The following is a 19,371-nucleotide window of genomic DNA, read 5'->3' as shown; positions in this document are numbered from 1 at the left end:
AGAGGATACAATCAAATGGAAGAACATTCCATGCTCATGGGTGGGAAGAATCAATATCGTGAAAATGGCCATACTGCCCAAGGTAATTTACAGATTCAATGCCATCCCCATCAAGCTACCAATGTCTTTCTTCACAGAATTGGAAAAAACTACTTTAAAGTTCATATGGAACCAAAAAAGAGCCCGCATCGCCAAGTCAATCCCAAGCCAAAAGAACAAAGATGGAGGCATCACACTATCTGACTTCAACTATACTACAAGGCTACAGTAACCAAAACAGCATGGTACTGGTACCAAAACAGAGATATAGATCAATGGAACAGAACAGAGCCCTCAGAAATAACGCCACATATCTACAACTATCTGATCTTTGACAAACCTGAGAAAAACAAGGAATGGGGAAAGGATTCCCTATTTAATAAATGGTGCTGGGAAAACTGGCTAGCCATATGTAGAAAGCTGAAACTGGATCCCTTCGTTACACCTTATGCAAAAATAAATTCAGGATGGATTAAAGCGTTGAAGTTTTCTTTTGAATTGAGCAGTTTGGAAACACTCTTTTTGTAGAATCTGCAAGTGGATATTTGGAGTGCTTTGAGGCCTATTTTGGAAAAGGAAATATCTCCACATAAAAACTACACAGAAGCATTCTGAGAAACTTCTTTGTGATGGGTGTATTCATCTCACAGAGTTGAACGTTTCTTTTTATTGAGCAGTTTGGAAACACTCTTTTTGTAGAATCTGCAAGTGATATTTGGAGCGGTCTGAGGCCTATAGTGAAAAAGGAAATATCTTCACCTGAAAACTATACAGAGCCATTCTGAGAAACCTGTTTGTGATGTGTGCATTCATCTCACGGAGGTGAAACTTTCTGTTGATTGAGCAGCTTGAAACATTCTTTTTGTATAATCTGCAACTGGATATTTGGAGAGCTTTGAGCCTAAGGTGGAAAAGGAAATACTTTCACATGGAAACTATGCAGAATTATTCTGAGAAACTACTTTGTGATGTGTCCATTGGACTCATGGAGTTGAACCTAGCTTTTGATTGAGCAGATTTAAATATCTCTTTTTGGAAATTCTGCAAGTAGATATTTGGAGCCTTTAGTGGCCTATTTTGGAAAAGGAAATACCTTCATATAAAAACTACACAGAAGCATTCTGAGAAAGTTCCTTGTGGTGTGTACATTCATCTCACAGTGTTGAACCTCTATTTTGATTGAGCAGTTTTGTAACAATCTTTTTTTAGTATCTGCAAGGGGATATTTGGAGCGATTTGAGACCTATTGTGGAAAAGGAAAAGTCTTCTCATAAAAACTACACAAAAGGATTCTGAGAAGCCACTTTGTGATGTATGCACTTAACTCACAGAGTTGAACTTATCTTTTGGTTGAGCAGGTTTGAATCTCTTTTTTTGTAGAATCTGCAAGTGAATATTTGGAGTTATTAGCCCCCTATTTTGGAAAAGGAAATATCTCCACATAAAAACTACTCAGAAGCATTGAGAGAAACATCTTTGTGATGTGTGCATTCATCCCACAGAGTTGAACTATTCTTTTGATTGAGCAGTTGGGAAACCCTCTTTTTGTAGAATCTGCTAGTGGATATTTGGAGTGCTCTGAGTCCTATACTGAAGAAAGAAGTATCTTCACATAAAAACAACAGAGAAGCATCCTAAGAAACTTCTTTGCAATGTCTGCATTCTTTGCACAGAGGTGAAACTTTATTTTGATTGAGTAGTTTTGAATCACTCTTTTTGTAGTATATGCAAGTGAACATTTGGAGCGCTTTGAGGCCTGTGGTGGAAAAGGAATTATCTTCACATAGAAACTACACAGAAGCATTCTGAGAAACTACTTTGTAATGTATGCACTCAATTCACAGAGTAAAACATATATTTTGATTGAGCAGTTTTGAAACTCTCTTTTTGTAGAATCTGCAAGTGGATATTTGGAGCCCTTTGCGGCCCTTGGTGGAAAAGGAAATATCTTCACATAAAACCACACAGAAGCAGTCTGAGAAACTTCTTTGTGATGTGTGCATTCAATTCACAGAGTTGAACATTTATTTTGATTGAACAGATTTGAATCTCTCTTTTTGTAGAATCTTCATGTGGATAATATTAACCCTTTGCGGCCTATTTTGGAAAAGGAAATATCTTCACATAAAAACTACACAGAAGCATCCTGAGAAACTTGTTTGTGATGTGTGCATTCATCTCACAGAGTTGAAACTTTCTTTTGATAGAGCAATTTTGAAACACTCTTTTTGGAGATTCTGCAAGTGGATATCTGGAGCACTTTGTGGCCTATGGTGGAAAAGGAAACATCTTCCCATAGAAACTACATAGAAGCATTCTGAAAAACTATTTTCTGATGTGTTCATTCAAGTCACAGTGTTGAGCCTATATGTTTATTGAGCAGTTTTGAAAGTCTTTTTTCTAGAATCTCTAAGTGGATACTTGGAGCCCTTTCTGGCCTATGGTGGAAAAGCAAATATCTTCGGATAAAAACTACATGGAAGCATTCTGAGAAACTTCTTTGTGATGTGTGCATTCACCTGAGAGAGTTGAACCTCTCTTTTGATTGAGCAGTTTTGAAACTATCTTTTTCTAGAATCCACAAGTGGATATTTAGAGCCCTTTGAGGCCTTTTGTGGAAAAGGAAATGTCTTCACATAAAAACTACAGAGAAGCATTCTGAGAAACTTCTTTGTGATGTGTGCATTCATCTCACAGAGTTGAAGCTTTCTTTTGATTGAACAGTTTGGAATCACAATTTTGCAGAATCTGCAAGTGGATATTTGGAGTGCTTTGAGACCTATGGTGGAAATGGAAATATCTTCACATAGAAACTATACAGAAGCATTCTGTGAAGCTTCTTAGTTATGTGTGCATTCATCTCACAGAGTTGAGGCTTTCTTTTGATTGAGCAGATTGGAAACACTCTTTTTGTAGAATCTGCAAGTGGATATTTGGAGCGCTTTGAGGCCTACTGTGGAAAACGAAATATCTTCACATAAAAACTACACAGAATCATTCTGAGAAACTACTTAGTGATGTATGCATTTAAGTCACAGTGTTGAACTTATATTTTGATTGAGCCGTTTGGAAACTCTCTTTTAATACAATCTGCAAGTGGATATTTAGAGCCCTTTGTGGTGTATGGTGGAAAAGAGGTATCTTCACATAATAACTACACAAAAGCATTCTGAGAAACTTCTTTGTGATGTGTGTATTCACCTCACATAGTTGAACCATTTTTTTGATTGGGCAGTTTGGAAAAACTCTTTTTGTAGAATCTGCTATTGAATATTTGGAGTGCTCTGAGGCCTATAGTGAAAAAGGAAATATCTTCACATAGAAACTACAGAGAAGCATTCTGAAAAACATTTTTGTGATGTGTGCATTCATCCCACAGATCTGAACCTTTATTTTCATTCAGAAGTTTTGAAACACTCTTTTTGTAGAATATGCAAGTCGATATTTGGAGCGCTTTGAGGCCTGTGGTGGAAAAGAAAATATCTTCACTTAGAAACTACACAGAAGCATTCTGAGAAACTTCTTTGTGATGTGTCCATTCAAATCACAGAGGTGAAACTACCTTTTGATAGAGCAGTTTTGAAACTCTATTTTTGTAAAATCTGCAAGTGGATATTTGGAGTCTTTGTGGGCTATGGTGGAAAGTGAAGTATCTTCACATAAAAACTACACAGAAGGCCGGGTGCGGTGGCTCACGCCTGTAATCCCAGCACTTTGGGAGGCTGAGGTGGGCGGATCACGAGGTCAGGAGATCGAGACCATCCCGGCTAAAATGGTGAAACCCCGTCTCTACTAAAAATACAAAAAATTAGCCGGGCATAGTGGCAGGTGCCTGTAGTCCCAGCTACTTGGGAGGCTGAGGTAGGAGAATGTTGTGAACCTGGGAGGTGGAGCTTGCAGTGAGCCGAGATCCCGCCACTGCACTCCAGCCTGGGTGACAGAGCGAGACTCCATCTCAAAAAAAAAAAAAAAAAAAAAAAAACTACACAGAAGCATTCTCAGTAACTATTTTGTGATGTGTGCATTCAAATCACAGAGTTCAACCTGTATTTTCATTGAGCAGTTTTGAAACTCTCTTTTTGTAGAATCTGCAATTGGATATTTGGAGCACTTTGAGGCCAAATGTGTAAAAGGAAATATCTTGACATAAAAACTATACAGAATCATTATGAGAACCTTCTTTGTGATGTGTGCATTCATCTCACAGAGTTGAACCACTGTTTTGATTGAGCAGTTTTGAAACAATATTTTTGTAGAATCGGCAACTGGATATTTGGAGTGATTTGAGGCCTATTGTGGAGAAGGAAATGTCTTCACATAAAAACTACACAGAAGCATTCTGAGTAACTTCTTTGCAACATGTTCACTCATCTCACAGAGTTGAAGTTTTCTTTTGTTTGAGTAGTTGGAAAAAATTCTTTTTGTAGAATCTGCAAGTGGATATTTGGAGCACTTTGAGGCCAATGGTGGAAAAGGAAATATCTTCTTTCAAAAACTACACAGAAGAATTCTGAGAAACGCCTTTGTGATGTGTGCATTCGTCACAAAGAGTTGAAGCTTTCTTTTGTATGAGCAGTTTTGAGACACTTTTTTTGCAGAATCCACAAGTGGATATTTGGAGCACTTTGTGGCCTATGGTGGAAAGGGAGGTATCTTCACATGAAATGTACACAGAAGCATTCTGAGAAACTTCTTTGTGATGTATCCATTCAACTCACCGAGTTGAACCTATCTTTTGAAAGAGCAGTTTTAAAACTCTCTTTGTGTAGAATCTGCAAGTGGATATTTGGAGCCCATTGTGGCATATGTTGGAAAAAGAAATATCTTCAGAAAAAAACTGCACAGAAGCATTCAGAGAAACGTCTTTATCATGTGTGCATTCATCTCACATTGTTGAATCTTTCTTTGATTGAGCAATTTTAAAACACTCTTTTTGTAGAATCTGCAAGGGGATATTTGGAGTGCTTTGAGGCCTATTGTGGAAAACGAAATATCTTCACATGAAAACTACACAGAAGCATTCTCAGAAACTTCCTTGTGATGTGTGTATTCATCTCACAGAGCTGAACCTTTCTTTTGATTGAGCAGTTTGGAAACACACTTTTTGTAGAATCTCCAATTGGATATTTTGCACACTTTGAGGCCTATTGTTGAAAAGGAAATATCTTCACATAAAAAGTATACAGAACCATTCTGAGTAACTTCTTTGTGATGTGTGCATTCATCTCACAGAGTTGAACCTTTCTTTTGATTGAGGAGTTTTGAAACAATCTTTTTCTAGTATGTGCATGTGGATATTTGGAGCGCTTTGAGGCCTATGGTAGATAAGGAAATATCTCCACATAAAAATTATGCAGAAGCATACTGAGAAACTTCTTTGTGATGTGTGCATTCATCTCACAGAAGTGAATCTTTCTTTTGATTGAGCAGTTTGGAAACACTCTTTTTGCAGTATCTGCAAGTGGATATTTGGAGCGCTTTCGGGCCAATGGTGTAAAAGGAAACAACTTCACATAGAAACTACACAGAAGCATTCTGAGAAACTTCTTTGTGATATGTCCATTCAACTCACAGAGTTGAACATATCTTTTGATAGAGCAGTTTTGGAATCCTTTTTTTGTAAAATCTGCAAGTGGATATTTGGAGCGCTTTGAGGCCTATGGTGGAAAAGGAAATATCTTCACATAGAAAGTACACAGAAGCATTCTGAGAAACTTTCTTGTGATGTGTGCATTCAACTCACAGAGTTGAAGCTTTCTATTGATTCAGCAGTTTGGAAACACTCTTTTTGTAGAATCTGTAAGTGGATATTCGAACTGTTTTGAGGCTTATTGTGGAAAAGGAAATACCTTCACATAAAAACTACACATAATCATTCTGAGAAACTACTTTACGATGTGTGCTTTCAAATCACAGAGTTGCACCTATATTTTGATTGAGCAGTTTTGAAACTTTTTGTAGAATCTTCAAGTGGATATTTGGAGCCCTTTGCAGCCTATGTTGGAAAAGGAAATAACCTCACACAAAAACTACACAGAAGCATTCTGAGAAACATCTTTGATGTGTGCATTCATCTCACAGATTTGAACATTTCTTTTGATTGAGCAGTTTGGAAACACTCTTTTTGCAGAATCCGCAAGTGGATATTTGGAGTGCTCTGAGGCCTATACGGAAAGAGGAAATATCTTCACATAAAAACTACACGGAAGCATCCTGAGAAACTTCTTTGTGAAGTGTGCATTCATCTGACAGAGTTGAACTTTTCTTTTGATGGAGCAGTTTTCATACACTCTTTTTGAGAATCTGCAAGTGGATATTTGGAGCGCTTTGGGGCCTCTGGTGGAAAAGGAAATATCTTCACAAAGAAACTACACAGAAGCATTCTGAGAAGCTTCTTTGTGATGTATGCATTCAACTCAGCGAGTTGATGCTTTCTTTTGATTGAGCAGTTTGGAAACACTCTTTTTTTAATTTTCTTATTATTATACTTTAAGTTTTAGGGTACATGTGCACAATATGCAAGTTAGTTACATATGTATACATGGGCAATGCTGGTGTGCTGCACCAATTAACTCGTCATTTAGCATTAGGTATATCTTCTAAAGCTATCCCTCCCCCCTCCCCCTACCCCACCACAGTCCCCAGAGTGTGATGTTCCCCTTCCTGTGTCCATGTGTTCATTGTTCCATTCCCACCTAGGAGTGAGAATATGCTGTGTTTGGTTTTTTGTTCTTGCAATAGTTTACTGAGAATGATGATTTCCAATTTCATCCATGTGCCTACAAAGGACATGAACTCATCATTTTTTATGGCTGCTTAGTATTCCATGGTGTATGTGTGCCACATTTTCTTAATCCAGTCTATCATTGTTGGACATTTGGGTTGGTTCCAAGTCTTTGCGATTGTGAATAGTGCCACAAGAAACATATGTGTGCATGTGTCTTTATAGCAGCATGATTTATAGTCCTTTGGGTATATACCCAGTAATGGGATGGCTGGGGCAAATGGGATTCCTAGTTCTAGATCCCTGAGGAATCGCCACACTGACTTTCACAATGGTCGAACTGGTTTACAGTCCCACCAACAGTGTAAAAGTGTTCCTATTTCTCCATATCCTCTCCAGCACCTGTTATTTCCTGACTTTTTATGATAGCCATTGTAACTGGTGTGAGATGGTATCTCATTGTGGTTTTGATTTGCATTTCTCTGATGATCAGTGATGGTGAGCATTTTTTCATGTGTTTCTTGGCTGCATAAATGTCTTCTTTTGAGAAGTGTCTGTTCATGTCCTTTGCCCACTTTTTGATGGGGTTTTTTGTTTTTTTCTTGTAAATTTGTTTGAATTCAATGTGGATTCTAGATATTAGCCCTTTGTCAGATGAGTAGGTTGTGAAAATTTTCTCCCATTTTGTAGGTTGCCTGTTCACTCTGATGGTAGTTTCTTTTGCTGTGCAGAAGCTCTTTAGTTTAATTAGATCTCATTTGTCAATTTTGTCTTTTGTTGCCATTGCTTTTGGTGTTTTGGACATGAAGTCCTTGCCCAGGCCTATGTCCTGAATGGTAATGCCTAGGTTTTCTTCTAGGGTTTTTATGGATTTAAGTCTAACGTTTAAGTCTTTAATCCATCTTGAATTAGCTTTTGCATTAGGTGTAAAGAAGGGATCCAGTTTCAGCTTTCTACATATGGCTAGACAGTTTTCCCAGCACCATTTATTAAATAGGGAATCCTTTCGCCATTGCTTGTTTTTCTCAGGTTTGTCAAAGATCAGATAGTTTTAGATATGCAGTGTTATTTCCGAGGGCTCTGTTCTGTTCCATTGGTCTATATCTCTGTATTGGTACCAGTACTATGCTGTTTTGGTTACTGTAGCCTTGTAGTATAGTTTGAAGTCACGTAGCATGATGCCTCCTGGTTTGTTCTTTTGGCTTTGGATTGACCTGGCGATGCGGGCTCTTTTTTGGTGCCATATGAAATTTAAAGTAGTTTTTTCCAATTCTGTGAAGAAAGTCATTGGTGGTGTGATGGGGATGGATTTGAATCTATAAATTACCTTGAGCAGTATGGCCATTTTCACGATATTAATTCCTTCTACCCATGAGTATGGAATGTTCTTCCATTTGTTTGTATCCTCTTTTATTTCATTGAGTAGTGGTTTGTAGTTCTCCTTGAAGAGGTCCTTCACATCCCTTGTAAGTTGTAATCCTAGGTATTTTTTTCTCTTTGAAGCAATTGTGAATGGGAGTTCACTCATGATTTGGCTCTCTATTTGTCTGTTATTGGTGTATAAGAATGCTTATGATTTTTGTACATTGATTTTGTATCCTGAGAATTTGCTGAATTTGCTTATCAGCTTAACGAGATTTTGGGCTGAGACAATGGGGTTTTCTAGATATACAATCATGTCATTTGCAAACAGGGACAATTTGACTTCCTCTTTTCCTTATAGAATACCCTTTATTTCCTTCTCCTGCCTAATTGCCCTGGCCATAACTTCCAACACTATGTTGAATAAGAGTGGTGAGAGAGGGCATCGCTGTCTTTTGCCAGTTATCAAAGGGAATGCTTCCAGTTTTGACCATTCAGTGTGATATTGGCTGTGGGTTTGTCATAGATATCTCTTATTATTTTGAGATACATCCATCAATACCTAATTTATTGAGAGTTGTTAGCATGGAGGGTTGTCGAATTTTGTCAAAGGCCTGTTATGCATTGATTCAGATAATAATGTGGTTTTTCTCTTAAAGAAAATAATTTTCAACCCAGAATTTCATATCCAGCCAAACTAAGCTTCAGAAGTGAAGGAGAAATAAAATACTTTACAGACGAGCAAATGCTGAGAGATTTTGTCACCACCAGGCCTGTCCTAAAAGAGCTCCTGAAGGAAGCGCTAAACATGGAAAGCAACAACTGGTACCAGCCGCTGCAAAATCATGCCAAAATGTAAAGACCATCGAGACTAGGAAGAAACTGCATCAACTAACGAGCAAAATCACCAGCTAACATCATAATGACAGGATCAAATTCACACATAACAATATTAACTTTAAATATAAATGGAATAAATTCTTCAATTAAAAGACACAGACTGGCAAGTTGGATAAAGAGTCAAGACCCATCAGTGTGCTGTATTCAGGAAACCCATCTCACGTGCAGAGACACACATAGGCTCAAAATAAAAGGATGGAGGAAGATCTACCAAGCAAATGGAAAACAAAAAAAGGCAGGGGTTGCAATCCTACTCTCTGATAAAACAGACTTTAAACCAACAAAGATCAAAAGAGACAAAGAAGGCCATTACATAATGGTAAAGGGATCAATTCAACAAGAGGAGCTAACTATCCTAAATATTTATGCACCCAATACAGGAGCACCCAGATTCATAAAGCAAGTCCTGAGTGACCTACAAAGAGACTTAGACTCCCACACATTAATAATGGGAGACTTTAACACCCCACTGTCAACATTAGACAGATCAACGAGACAGAAAGTCAACAAGGATACCCAGGAATTGAACTCAGCTCTGCACCAAGCAGACCTAATAGACATCTACAGAACTCTCCACCCCAAATCAACAGAATATACATTTTTTTCAGCACCACACCACATCTATTCCAAAATTGACCACATACTTGGAAGTAAAGCTCTCCTCAGCAAATGTAAAAGAACAGAAATTATAACAAACTATCTCTCAGACCACAGTGCAATCAAACTAGAACTCAGGATTAAGAATCTCACTCAAAGCCGCTCAACTACATGGAAACTGAACAACCTGCTCCTGAATGACTACTGGGTACATAACGAAATGAAGGCAGAAATAAAGATGTTCTTTGAAACCAACGAGAACAAAGACACCACATACCAGAATCTCTGGGACGCATTCAAAGCAGTGTGTAGAGGGAAATTTATAGCACTAAATGCCTACAAGAGAAAGCAGGAAAGATCCAAAATTGACACCCTAACATCACAATTAAAAGAACTAGAAAAGCAAGAGCAAACACATTCAAAAGCTAGCAGAAGGCAAGAAATAACTAAAATCAGAGCAGAACTGAAGGAAATAGAGACACAAAAAACCCTTCAAAAAATCAATGAATCCAGGAGCTGGTTTTTTGAAAGGATCAACAAAATTGATAGACCGCTAGCAAGACTAATAAAGAAAAAAAGAGAGAAGAATCAAATAGACACAATAAAAAATGATAAAGGGGATATCACCACCAATCCCACAGAAATACAAACTACCATCAGAGAATACTACCAACACCTCTACGCAAATAAACTAGAAAATCTAGAAGAAATGGATACATTCCTCGACACATACACTCTCCCAAGACTAAACCAGGAAGAAGTTGAATCTCTGAATAGACCAATAACAGGCTCTGAAATTGTGGCAATAATCAATAGTTTACCAACCAAAAAGAGTCCAGGACCAGATGGATTCACAGCCGAGTTCTACCAGAGGTACAAGGAGGAACTGGTACCATTCCTTCTGAAACTATTCCAATCAATAGAAAAAGAGGGAATCCTCCCTAACTCATTTTATGAGGCCAGCATCATTCTGATACCAAAGCCGGGCAGAGACACAACCAAAAAAGAGAATTTTAGACCAATAACCTTGATGAATATTGATGCAAAAATTCTCAATAAAATACTGGCAAACCGAATCCAGCAGCACACCAAAAAGCTTATCTACCATGATCAAGTGGGCTTCATCCCTGGGATGCAAGTCTGGTTCAATATACGCAAATCAATAAATGTAATCCAGCATATAAACAGAGCCAAAGACAAAAACCACATGATTATCTCAATAGATGCAGAAAAACCCTTTGACAAAATTCAACAACCCTTCATGCTAAAAACTCTCAATAAATTAGGTATTGATGGGACGCATTTCAAAATAATAAGAGCTATCTATGACAAACCCACAGCCAATATCATACTGAATGGGCAAAAACGGGAAGCATTCCCTTTGAAAACTGGCACAAGACAGGGATGTCCTCTCTCACCGCTCCTATTGAACATAGTGTTGGAAGTTCTGGCCAGGGCAATCAGGCAGGAGAAGGAAATAAAGGGTATTCAATTAGGAAAAGAGGAAGTCAAATTGTCCCTGTTTGCAGACGACATGATTGTTTATCTAGAAAACCCCATCGTCTCAGCCCAAAATCTCCTTAAGCTGATAAGCAACTTCAGCAAAGTCTCAGGATACAAAATCAATGTACAAAAATCACAAGCATTCTTATACACCAACAACAGACAAACAGAGATCCAAATCATGAGTGAACTCCCATTCACAATTGCTTCAAAGAGAATAAAATACCTAGGAATCCAACTTACAAGGGATGTGAAGGACCTCTTCAAGGAGAACTACAAACCACTGCTCAAGGAGATAAAAGAGGACACAAACAAATGGAAGAACATTCCATGCTCATGGGTAGGAAGAATCAATATCGTGAAAATGGCCATACTGCCCAAGGTAATTTACAGATTCAATGCCATCCCCATCAAGCTACCAATGACTTTCTTCACAGAATTGGAAAAAACGACTTTAAAGTTCATATGGAACCAAAAAAGAGCCCGCATTGCCAAGTCAATCCTAAGCCAAAAGAACAAAGCTGGAGGCATCACACTACCTGACTTCAAACTATACTACAAGGCTACAGTAACCAAAACAGCATGGTACTGGTACCAAAACAGAGATATAAATCAATGGAACAGAACAGAGCCCTCAGAAATAATGCCGCATATCTACAACTATCTGATCTTTGACAAACCTGAGAAAAACAAGCAATGGGGAAAGGATTCCCTATTTAATAAATGGTGCTGGGAAAACTGGCTAGCCATATGTAGAAAGCTGAAACTGGATCCCTTCCTTACACCTTATACAAAAATCAATTCAAGATGGATTAAAGATTTAAACGTTAGAACTAAAACCATAAAAACCCTAGAAGAAAACCTAGGCATTACCATTCAGGACATAGGCGTGGGCAAGGACTTCATGTCCAAAACACCAAAAGCAATGGCAACAAAAGACAAAATTGACAAATGGGATCTAATTAAACTAAAGAGCTTCTGCACAGCAAAAGAAACTACTATCAGAGTGAACAGGCAACCTACAACATGGGAGAAAATTTTCGTAACCTACTCATCTGACAAAGGGCTAATATCCAGAATCTACAATGAACTCAAACAAATTTACAAGAAAAAAACAAACAACCCCATCAAAAAGTGGGCGAAGGACATTAACAGACACTTCTCAAAAGAAGACATTTATGCAGCCAAAAAACACATGAAAAAATGCTCATCATCACTGACCATCAGAGAAATGCAAATCAAAACCACTATGAGATATCATCTCACACCAGTTAGAATGGCAATCATTAAAAAGTCAGGAAACAACAGGTGCTGGAGAGGATGTGGAGAAATAGGAACACTTTTACACTGTTGGTGGGACTGTAAACTAGTTCAACCATTGTGGAAGTCAGTGTGGCGATTCCTCAGGGATCTAGAACTAGAAATACCATTTGACCCAGCCATCCCATTACTGGGTATATACCCAAATGACTATAAATCATGCTGCTATAAAGACACATGCACACGTATGTTTATTGCGGCATTATTCACAATAGCAAAGACTTGGAACCAACCCCAATGTCCAACAATGATAGACTGGATTAAGAAAATGTGGCACATATACACCATGGAATACTATGCAGCCATAAAAAATGATGAGTTCATGTCCTTTGTAGGGACATGGATGAAATTGGAAACTATCATTCTCAGTAAACTATCTCAAGAACAAAAAACCAAACACCGCATATTCTCACTCATAGGTGGGAATTGAACAATGAGTTCACATGAACACAGGAAGGGGAATATCACACTCTGGGGACTGTGGTGGGGTCGGGGGAGGGGGGAGGGATAGCAGTGGGAGATATACCTAATGCTAGATGACACGTTAGTGGGTACAGCGCACCAGCATGGCACATGTATACATATGTAACTAACCTGCACAATGTGCACATGTACCCTAAAACTTAAAGTATAATAATAAAAAAAAACTTTTCTCCAATATACATACACCCACACCCCACGCATACATATAGTGAATATATACTATGTATTTGTGTGTGTGTATATATATATATATAATATACTTATTTTTTGAATTAAAAAAACAATATTAACTTTAAATGTAAATGGACTAAATGCTCCAATTAAAAGACACAGACTGGCAAATTGGATAAAGAGTCAATACCCATCAGTGTGTTGTATTCAGGAAACCCATCTCACATGCAGAGACACACATACGCTCAAAATAAAAGGATGGAGGAAGATCTACCAAGCAAATGGAAAACAAAAAAAGGCAGGGTTTGCAATCCTAGTCTCTGATAAAACAGACTTTAAACCAACAAAGATCAAAAAAGACAAAGAAGGCCATTACATAATGGTAAAGGGATCAATTCAATAAGAAGAGCTAACTACCCTAAAGATATAAGCACCCAATACAGCAGCACCCAGATTCATAAAGCAAGTCCTGAGTGACCTACAAAGAGACTTAGACTCCAACACAACAATAATGGGAGACTTTAACATCCCACTGTGAACATTAGACAGATCAACGAGACAGAAAGTTAACAAGGATATCCAGGAATTGTACTCAGCTCTGCACCAAGTGGACCTAATAGACATCTACAGAACTCTCCACCCCAAATCAACAGAATATACATTTTTTTCAACACCGCACCACACCTATTCCAAAATTGACCACATATTTGGCAGTAAAGCTCTCCTCAGCAAATGTAAAAAATCAGATATTATAACAAACTTTCTCTCAGACCACAGTGCAATCAAACTAGAACTCAGGATTAAGAAACTCACTCAAAACCACTCAACTACATGGAAACTGAACAACCTGCTCCTGAGTGACTACTGAGCACAGCAGGAAATGAAGGCAGAAATAAAGATGTTCTTTGAAACCAGTGATAACAAAGACACAGCATACCAGAATCTTTCGGACACATTCAAAGCAGTGTGTAGAGGGTAATTTATAGCACTAAATGCCCACAAGAGGAAGCAGGAATGATCCAAAATTGACACCCTCACATCACAATTAAAAGAACTAGAAAAGCAAGAGCAAACACATTCAAAAGCTAGCAGAAGGCAAGAAATAACTAAAATCAGAGCAGAACTGAAGGAAATAGTGCCACAAAAACCCTTCAAAAAATTAATGAATCCAGGAAACACTCTTTTATAGAATCTGCAACTGGATATTTGAAGCATTTTGAGGCCTACTGTGGAAAAGGAAATATCTTCCCAGAAAAACTACACTGAAGCACTTTGAGAAACTTCTTTGTGATGTGTGCATTAATCTCAAAGAGTTGAAACTCTCGTTTGATTGAGCAGTTTTGAAACAATATTTTGTAGAACAAGCAAGTGGATATTTGGAGCGGTTTGAGGCCTATTGTGGAATACGAAGTGTCTACATATAAAAAGTACACAGAAGCATTCTGAGAAAAATCTTTGTGATGTGTGCATTCATCTTACAAAGTTGAACCTTTCTTTTGATAGAGCAGCTTGAAAACACACTTCTTGTAGACTCTGGAAGTGGATATTTGGAGCGCTCTAAGGCCTATGGTGGAAAAGGAAATATCTTCACATAAAAACTATACAGAAGAATTCTGAGAAACTTGTGATGTGTGCATTCATGACACAGAGTTGAAGCTTTCTTTTGATTTAGTAGTTTTGTAACACTCTTTTTGTAGAATCTGCAGGTGGATATTTGGTGTGCTTTGAGGCCTATGCTGGAAAAGGAATTATCTTCACATTGAAACTACACAGAAGCATTCTGAGAGACTTCTTTGTGATGAGCCATTAAACTCACAGTGTTGAACATGTATTTTGATAGAGCAGTTTTGAAACTCTCTTTTTGTAAAATCTGAAAGTGGGTATTTGGAGCCATTTGCAGCCTATGGTGGAAAAGGAAATGTCTTCATATAAAAACTACACAGAAGTATTCTGAGAAACGTTTTTGTGATGTCTGCATTAAACTCACAGAGTTGAACCTATCTTTTCATTGAGCAGATTTGAAGCTGTCTTTTTGTAGAATCTGCAAGTGGATATGTGGAGCCCTTAGTGGACTATTTTGGAAAAAGAAATATCTTCACATAAAAACTACACAGAAGCATTCTGGGAGACTTCTTTGTGATGTGTGCATTCTTCTCACAAAGTTGAACATTTATTTTGATTAAGGAGTTTTGAAACACACTTTTTGTAGAATCTGCAAGTGGATATTTGAAGCACTTGGAGGCCTATTGTGGAGAAGGAAATATCTTCCCATAAAAACTACACAGAAGTATTCTGAGAAACTTCTTTGCAATGTGTGCGTTCATCTCAGAGAGTTGAAACTTTCTTTTCATTGTGCAGTTTTGAACCACTCTTTTTGTAGAATCTGCAAGTGGATATTTGGAGTGCTTTGAGGCCTATGTTTGAAAAGGAAATATCTTCACATAAAAACTACACAGAAGTATTCTGAGAAACTTCTTTGCAATGTGGGCATTCATGTCACTGAGATGAACCTATCTTTTGATTGAGCAGTTTTGAAACTCTCTTTTTGTAGAATCTACAAGTAGATATTTGAAGCCCTTTGTGGACTATGGTGGAAAAGGAAATATCTTCACATAAAAACTACACAGAAGCATTCTCAGAAACTTCATTGTGATGTGTGCATTCAGCTCACAGAGTTGAACGTATCTTTTGATTGAGCAGATTTGAATCTCTGTTTTCATAGAATCTGCAAGGGGATATTTGGAGCCCTGTGCGGCCTATTTAGGAAAAGGAAGTATCCTCATAAAAACTACACAGAAGCATGTTGTTAAAATTCTTTGTGTTGTGTGCATTCACCTTACAGTGTTGAACCTTTCTTTTGATTGAGCAGTTTTGATACACGCTTTTTATAGAATCTACAATGGGATATTTGGGGCGCTTTGAGGCCTATGGTGGAAAAGGAAATATCTTCACATAAAACCTAGACAGAAGCATTCTGAGAAACTTCTTTTTGATGTGTGCATTCAACTCACAGAGTTGAACCTGTCTTTCATTGAGCTGTTTTGAAACAGTCTTTTTGTAGTATCCGCAAATGGATATTTGTAGCGGTTTGAGGCCTTTGGTGGAAAAGGACCTATATTCACATAAACACTAGAAAGAAGCATTCTGAGAAACTTCTTTGTGATGTGTGCATTCAACTCACAGAGATGAACCTTTCTTTTGTTTGAGCCAGTTTGAAACACTCTTTTGTAGCATCTGCAAGTGGATAGTTGGAGTGCTTTTCGGCCTATGGTTGAAAAGGAAATACCTTCACATAAAAACGAGACAGAAGCATTCTGAGAAACATTTTGTGATGTGTGCATTCATCTCAACGAATTGAAACTTTCTTTTCATTGTTCAGTTTTGAAAACCTCTTTTTGTAGAATATGCAAGTGGATATTTGGAGCACTTTGAGGCCTCTGGTGGAAACGGATATATCTTCATATAAAAACTAGACTGAAGCATTCTCAGAAACTTCTTTGTGATGTGTTCATTCAACTCACATTGTTGAACCTTTCTTTCAATTGAGTAATTTTGAAACACTCTTTTCGTAGAATCTGCAAGTGTCTATTTCGAGGGCCTATGGTGGAAAAGGAAATATCTTCACATAAAAAATACACAGAAGCATTCAGAGAATCTTCTTTGTGATGTCTGCATTCAACTCAGAGAGTTAAAACTTTTTTTTTGATTGAGCAGTATTGAATCACATTTTTTGTAGAATCCGCAAGTGGATATTTCGAGGTCTTTGCGGCCTCCTGGGAAGAGGTAATATCTTTATATAAAAACTAGACAGAAACATTCTGAGAAACTTCTGTGTGATGTGTGCATTCAATTCACAGAGTTGAACTTTTCTTTTGATTGCGGATTTCAAACACAGTTTGTGTAGAATCTGAAAGTGGATATTTGGAGTGCTTTGAGGCCTACGGTTGAAAATAAATATCTTCACATAAAAACTAGACAGAAGAATTCTGAGAAATGACTTTGTGCAGTGTGCATTCATCTCACAGAGTTGAAACTTTCTTTTGATTGAACAGCTTTGAAACACACTTTTTGTAGAATCTGCAAGTGGATATTTGGAGCCCTTTGGTCTCTGCTGATAATGGAAATATCTTCACATAAAAACTATACAGAAGCATTCTGAGAAACTCCTTTTTATGTGTGTATTCACCTCACAGAGTTGAAATTTTCTTTTAATTGAGCAGTTTTGAAACTCTCTTTTTGAATAATCTGCAAGTGGAAATTTGGAGCACTTTGAGGCCTCTGGTGGAAAAGAAAATATCTTCACATAAAAACTAGGCAGAAGCATTCTGAGAATCTTTTTTGTGATATGTACATTCAACTAACAGAATCAAACCTTTCTTTTCATTGAGCAATTTTGAAACACGCTTTTTGAAAAATCTGTAAGTGGATATTTTGAGGGATCTGTGGCCTCCTGTGGAAAAGGAAATATCTTCACATTACATCTAGACAGAAGCACTCTGAGAAGCTTCTGTGTAATGTGTGCACTCATCTCACAGATTTTAAATTTTCTTTTGATTCATCAGTTTCAAAACACTATGTAGAATCTGCAAGTGGCTATTTGAAGCCCTTTGCAGCCGAGGGTAGAAAACGAAATATCTTAACATAAAAACTAGACTGAAGCATTCAGAGAAACTTCTGAGTGATGTCTGCATTCATCTCACAGAGTTGAACCTTTCTTTTGACTGAGCAGTTTTGAAACACTCTTTTTATAGAATCTCCAAGTGGATATATGGCGTGATTTGAAGCCTATGGTGGAAAAGGAAATATCTTCAAATAGAAACTAGACAGAAGCATTCTGAGAAACTTCTTTGGGATATGTGCATTCATCTCACAGAGTTGAACATTTCTTTTGATTCGTCAGTTTCCAAACACTATTTATGTAGAATCTGAAAGTGGATATTTGGAACGCTTTGAGGCTTAAGGTGGAAAAGGAAATTGCTTCACATAAAAACTACAAAGAAGCATTCATCTCACAGAGTTGAACCATTCTTCTCATTGAGCAGCTTTGAAACACTCTTTTTGTAGAATCTGCAAGGGGATATTTGGAGCAATTTGAGGCCTGTTCTGGAAACGGAAATATCTTCTCATAAAAACCACACAGAAGCATTCTGAAAAACTTCTTTGTGAGTTATGCATTCAACTCACAGAGTTGAAACTTTCTTTTCATTGAAGAGTTTTGAAACACTCTTTTTGTAGACTCTGCAAGTGGATATTTGGAGCGATTTGTGGCCTCTAGTGAAAAAGGAAATATCTTCACATAAAAACTAGACAGAAGCATTCTGAGAAACTTCTATGTGATTTGTGCATTCACCTCAAAGAGTTGAAACTTACTTTAGATTGAGCAGTTTGAAACACACATTTGGAGAATCTGCAAGTGGAAATTTGGAGCGCTTTGAGGCCTATGATGTAAAGGGAAATGTCTTCAAACAAAAACTAGGCAGAAGCCTTCTGAGAAACTTCTTTGTTATGTATGCATTTATCTCACTTAGTTGAACCTTTCTTTTGACTGAGCACTTTGGAAACTTTCTTTTTGTAGAATCTGCAAGTGGATATTTGGAGTGCTTTGTGACCTCTACAGGAAAAGGAAATATCTGCACTTAAAAAATAGACAGAAGCCTTCTGAGAGACTTCTTTGTGATGTGTGCATTCATCTCACAGAGATGAAACTTTCTTTTTATTGAGCAGTTTTGAAACGCTCTTTTTGCAGAATCTGCAAGGGGATATTTGGAGCACTTTTATGCCTATGGTGGAAAAGGAAATATCTTCACATAAAAACTATGCAGAAGCATTATGAGAGACTTCTTTGTGATGTGTGCAGTCATCTCACAAAGTTTAACGTTCCCTTTGATTGAGCAGTTTTGAAACATTGTTTTTGTAGAATCTACAGTTGGATATTTGGAGCACTTTGACGCCTATGGTGGAAATCGAAATATCTTCATATAAAAGCAAAACAGGGGCATTCTGAGAAACTTCTTTGTGATGTGTGCATTCATCTCACAGAGTTGAAACTTTCTTTTTATTGAGAAGTTTTGAAACCCTCTTTGTGCAGAATCTTCAAGGGAATATTTGGAGTGCTTTTATGCCTATGGTGGAAAAGGAAATACCTTCACATAAATACTAAGCGGAATCATTATAGGAGAGACTTCTTTGTGATGTGTGCTTTCTTCTCACAGAGTTGAACATTTCGTTTGATTGAGCAGTTTTGAAACACTCTTTTTGTAGGATCTGCAAGT

This window comes from Homo sapiens, chromosome 10 (assembly GCF_000001405.40).
Source record: "Homo sapiens chromosome 10, GRCh38.p14 Primary Assembly".
Lineage (NCBI taxonomy): Eukaryota > Metazoa > Chordata > Mammalia > Primates > Hominidae > Homo > Homo sapiens.
The sequence above is the reverse complement of the archived record's forward strand: the minus strand, read 5'-3'. Positions refer to the sequence as shown.